The sequence below is a fragment of the Homo sapiens genome, chromosome 13 (genome assembly GCF_000001405.40).
Source record: "Homo sapiens chromosome 13, GRCh38.p14 Primary Assembly".
Classification (NCBI taxonomy): Eukaryota; Metazoa; Chordata; class Mammalia; order Primates; family Hominidae; genus Homo; species Homo sapiens.
Genome location: NC_000013.11, coordinates 112,225,902 through 112,231,901, shown reverse-complemented (window position 1 = coordinate 112,231,901; position 6,000 = coordinate 112,225,902).

The window sequence follows — 6,000 nt, the reverse complement described above, 5'->3', positions numbered from 1 at the left end:
ACACACACTTTTCGGATAACAGTCTTTTTAGATGCGTGGTCTGAGCCTGCTAAAGGTGAACACAGCCTGTCCTGAGGTTTCCCTCTTCCTCCGGCGTCTGCCTCCTCTGGCTGAGCAGGAATGCCATCTCTGCGACTCTCACCCGCTGGCACGGCACTTCTCCTCCCCTGGGCTTTGAGGAGCAGCACTGGCTCATCTTCCCACAAGAGGTGTCCCAGCATCTGAGGACAATGATATTCTCTTCTCATGGAACCCAGTCTCTTCCGCTGCCTTTCACCCGAGGCAATGCCATGTCTTCTCGGTGTCTTGATCGTCTTTCTCTGAACTTGCTTGGAGTTGTCTGCATTCCTCTCCAGGTGCCACCCACGATGGAAGGCGACATTGCTGGTGAAGTCTGACTCCTTGAGAGTGGCGTGGGTCCTTCACCTCCTCCCAGCAGGGCGTTTCGGACAATACAGCCTAGGATTCTATGGATCATGGGTAAGTCATCCTGTTGGCTTATCTTAAGTAGATTGACGATTGAAACCTAAAGGCGTTTTTACAAGTGTTGGTGCGAAGACTCCCCAGTCAGGATGTATGTGGTTGGGTTTTGCATCCTAGATCTCATATTCACACCTAATACATTTTATCTTTAAAACTTTAAAACTTCCATTCCTCCAGACAGCAGGAACTCTGGGGACACAATTCTGCTCTTCACAGTAGCTCCTGTCCCAGCTTTAAGCCATTATTTTATTTGGCTGATGTTTCACGCGCAGTGAGGTATTCACATGGTGCAGTAATCCCCACGTCGTCCCGGTTGACACCCAGCATCTTAATGGCTGGCCGTCTTCATCCACCCTCTGTCCTTCTAAAATGAAGCTGCAGATACTATCTTCTGGCCTCAGACACAGCAGTCAAATGTTTACGTGCTCTCCAACTGGTTTGTGTGTTTGTATCTAGTTCAGCATTTCCAAGTTTCTGGGGAACATCATGAGATACCACCAACAAAAGATTTTGTGGTCAAATTAATGGGGAACGTTCAGACTATGTCTCCTTAAACGCTCTGTATTAATGTGTAAAAGGTCTCCGAGAACCTCTGCATTTAAACAACAATAACAAAAACCCACACAAAGAAAATTGTCCTCTGTAATCTGTGTGACCCAGCATTTCCAATTTCATCTGATGACGTTTGGAAAACAGAACTCATGCCCTCTGCCCTTTGGAGCATGTTCTTCTGCAGCTAGACCTGCCTTTCATGTTCTGTAATTCTAGAGGGAGTGTCTCATGTCTGGCTGTTTCCTCTCCCAGCAACTGAATCTAGGTTCTGAATGAGCAGATCCTGTCAATCTAGGTTGCACGCATTTCTCACTGTGTAACGTCAATTACCCTAGTCCTTGTTACTTGAAGATTGTGAAGGGAAGTAAATACTGTCACACATAAAATGATTACTTATGGACTGACCACTTACAAAAGTGTGGTCCACTCAAATGCCCTTCCCCCTGGACAGCAGTAGCTCTCGGCTGTCACTGTCACAACCACACGGCCTTTGGTCAGGGTTGCTTAGACACAAGCGAATACAAAGCACGTTGGTAGAAGGAAGGTGGAAATTGTGAAGCAGGCAGAGAATTTTGGGGTTGATGACGCTTGTAGAGTTATTGGCCAGAAGTGATCTGGTCAGAGGTGAACTGATTAGCAAAAATTGGTCACGCAGGTAGACCCAGGAGTTGCGAAAGGAAATGACGTGAACTCAGGAGTAGGGGGAGCCCTCGGGAAAGCTCACGGAGCCCTTGAACTTCTGCAGGAGCAATGCTCCTTTCCAGCCGGAGGCCAAAGTCACATGTCAAGGGCATTCTAGGTGGCTGCTGTCTAATCTTGTCAGAGAAAAATTCACCCAGAAAGATATGTATATATGATTGATTCTTTTGGTCTAACAATGAAAACATAGTTATGTTTATTACATGTTTCGTTAAAATACAATAAAACAAACCACTTACCATACAACTATGTTTCCTTTCATTAAGCTAAAAATTTCAAGTAAGGCGTTTTGGCTGTGAAGTTCTGGCCTTGATTTTAGGAGGATTCTGCAACTGTTCCAGGGTGGAGATGCTCATGGTTCTTCCTCAGCAATGGGGCCGCCTCTGTGAGGAAGCTCACACGTGACGGGTCTGAGCAGGGAGGTGCAAGGGCAGCCTGAGGCGGCAGACGGCAGCACTGGCTCTCCCCACAAAACACCGGTAGTGACCGTCGCCCTGGTGTCCAGCCGAGCCTGGCCCTCTCTGGAGTCCTTCCTGGTCGCCTTTGCACGGTGCAGAGGTTGACACTCAAAGTTTCAGGACTTCACTGCTTTGAGGCAGCTGCAGGATGCTGCGGTCTTTGCCCCTGTCTCGGGGGCGCCAAGTCTGCAGGGCTGCTGGGGACAGCTTTCCTCTAAGGTCCGTATCAATGGCAAATGGTTTTTTTTTTTTTTTACCTCATTTTGAGGGAGAAGGCACTTTCTGCTTAGAGTAGCATAAAACCAGCTCCCTCCAAGGCAGAAGCCCAGGCCTGGTGGCACCTCCTGTGGGACCTGGATCATCATCCTGAAAGAACAATCCCAAATGCTGTAATCCCGGAAAATCAAAATCCTTAAAATCTAAATCCCCACAGTCTAAAATCCTGACATTTAAAATCCTGAAACCACAGTCGCAGGACAGTTGCATCATGTCAGGTGGGACGATGACCTTGTTACGGTCTTCACTGGAAATTAAGCATGGTTTAAGGAGATGCATTTGGCGGAAATTCAGATGAGTGATGGGCCCTGCCATACAGCACTGACAGAATCCTTGGTTTAAAAATTCGTCACGTGCCTGCAGTGACATTCCTTCTGGCTGATGACGTGCCAGGAGATGTTAATGAATTAAAGCCACACTTGCCTGAAGAAGCTGGCGAAGTTACCGACTGGTTCAAAAATAATTATGTGCACTGTAGGATAAGAAGACACCTACACAGGCCGGGTGCCGTGGCTCACGCCTGTAATCCCAGCACTTTGGGAGGCCGAGGCAGGCGGATCATGAGGTCAGGAGATCCAGACCACCCTGGCTAACACAATGAAACCCCGTCTCTACTAAAAATACAAAAAAATTAGCCGGGTGTGGTAGCGGGCGCCTGTAGTCCCAGCTACTCGGGAGACTGAGGCAGGAGAATGGCATGAACCCGGGAGGCGGAGCTTGCAGTGAGCCGAGATTGTGCCACTGCACTCCAGCCTGGGCGACAGAGCAAGACTGCGTCTCAAAAGAAAAAAAAAAAGAAAACAAAAAAAAGAAGACACCTACACAACGGTTTTGCCGTTCTGTCGCCAGCGCGGTTCCCACCAATCCACGGTCTGCGTATGAAAGCATCCAGATGGATTTCCTCATACCTAAAACAATGTGGACGCATGGCACAGAAGATGTGAAGGTTGAAGAGGGCTCATGCAGCTGTGTGTTGAATCACAGAAGAATTCCAGAAGAGCAGAGCCACATGGAAATGAATGTGAACGTATCCTCCGAGGAGAACCATGTCCTGAAAGAAAAAAAAGCAGCAATTCATCACCACGCAGAATTCAAAACGTAGTTAATGATCGTGAAAGCCGGCCAGCTCTTACGGACTCCGACCTGTGTGCAATCGCCAATAGTCCATCCCTGTGATATGATTTTCCATAGGTTGAATTTTCTTTTTAGTTTCTCCCACCATTTTAAATTGTCAGCATTATTTCTTACAATTTGCCATGCTGTGTATTTCACCTTCACATCACTTCAATACCGGAGGTGTAAATTGTGTGGAGACTTTTAGAAAGTTTTGTTTTATGCATCTTTTGCAAATTTGACTCCACGAAAGTGCGTGATCATAACCTTGAATTTGTGTGTAAGCATTGTGTGTCTGTGTGTGTGTGTCTGTGTGTGTGTGTGTACACAGAAACACTGAAACTTCCTCCGTAAATGAAGAGATGTCCTTTTTGTGCATCTGTGTTTGTGAAGGATAAAGTTTCTCGAGATCTCAGCTCCTTGGGTGACCGCATGTGTGGAGATGACCCATCTCGTTTTTTATGGGTCTTGTCAAAGGCTGAGGCTCTTGGCCACAGTATTTCAGGTGACTGGAGGATAAAGCTGGGTGCACATAGTGACCAATGACAGTGACGTTGTTTACACATTTCCCTTTTACACCTATTTTTTCATGAATCCGGTTCGTCTGCTCATAGCTGTTGTACTCAGGCAACAGTCCTTAGATACCTGAGCGTTTGTGCTCGCAAAAATATGCATGTTCTTAGGGGCCGTTTCATTGCATCAAGTGTTCTGTCATGTTTTATAAATCCCCTTTTAAAATGTAATAAGTATTGTCTTAAATAATTTAAAATGATTTTTTCCAGAAGTACCTTGTTGAGATTTTGATCTTCCGGGATGTCAACATTCGGGATTATGGAGTTCGGGATTGTGTCATTGGGATCACGATCGACCCCCTTCCTGGGAAATGGTTTAAGCTCCCTCCGCAAACCCTCGGAAGTCACCGTTGAGTCATTCCCTCCTGATACAGTGTGGTGACCATGCCGTTGTTGGTTGTATTCTTATCACGAGGGCCCTGTGTGACCCCACGGAGCAGCCTGTGCTGTGTGAATCGAGGCCGGCTGTGCAGCTCTAGCTTCTATGTTAAATGCTTTCAGATGCCACTGGCGTTTCACTCACAGTCCTAGGATCCATAGGGATAGGGTGAGGCAAGATGCTGTGAGCGCATCTGGGTCAGACCAAAGGGGCAGGAGGAGGAGAGGAGTGAGGAGGGTTTGGATGGACAGCAGCACCTGAGCTTAGTTTAGGGCCTGTGAGCTTCCGTGAGTGGAGAAGGACAATGCGCTGACACTGACACAGACTCAGAAGTCACTAAAGCATCTAGAACTCAACTTCTTCTCCCCAAGTAAGGCCCCAACCCAGGCACCTTCTCAAATCATATTTCATGTGTCCTCACTTCTGCCAGTTCCTATTTAAGGCAATTATGGCTTTAGCAAAGGACTCTGATGATACTACGCAAAGGGCGTGTGTCCCTTGTTTGTAGTGGGAACGGCCAGACAGGATCATCCATGGTCTGTATTTCAGCCGCCCAGTGCTGGCTTATGGGTGCAGATGACTGACACGTCAGGGTAGATGTCACCAAGATAACCATGCGTTATTCTGCTGGCCATGGTGGGGTTGACTTGGGCCCTCATCAACACATCCTGGCCTTTTCATGTGACATTCAATTATTTCAGAGGGCAGTGTGTCTGGAAAATTGCTTACATTGTTCAAGCACCAGGCAGGCAGAGTCCTCTTGGCTAGTGATTAGGGGAGAGCTGTGCATTCAGGATCAAAGACTGTGGGGGAGGTACATATGTAACCAGCAGAGATGTATCACCATGATAGTGGGATGCTGCATGCCGTGGGGTCAGGGAGACTTCCTGGCTGTGACAGTGATGAAGTGACTCTTGTCATTCTCCTGGGCACTTCCCTCCAGGCCATCCCAACACGGCCATGCCTGGGTCCCCAGCCATGCCTCACACGCATCTGGCTGCAAATCTGGCCTTCTCCAAGGGCGCTTTCTTCCCTCTCAATGAAGACTGAGTAGGAGGGAGCAAGTAAGAGTCCTGCACATGCTGTATACACAGGACAATGGCTACCCACGCATGAGCATTGCTGGTCTATCAAGGACGTACCCAGCAATTACCGTTGATGAAATTCCACTTTAGTGATGATCTCAGGGACAAATGTTTCCTCCAAAAACATACAAAATGATTTTGGATCTGCCATTTGCAATCTAACCCCATGAGTCCCTGGGGCCACATCGGTTGGAGTTCGCCTGGGTGCTGCACAGCCTGAGCCACTGCCCAAGGGCCTCGCCTCGTGCGTCTTATTGGCTTCCAGTACAGGGCCAAGCCATGGTAAGTTTTCAGGAACAGTTTGTTGATTGATTTTTAAATCTTTTTCCAGGGTGGTAGATCAATGAATGGAACACAGTGTTTCCAAATGCTCATGTGACTTA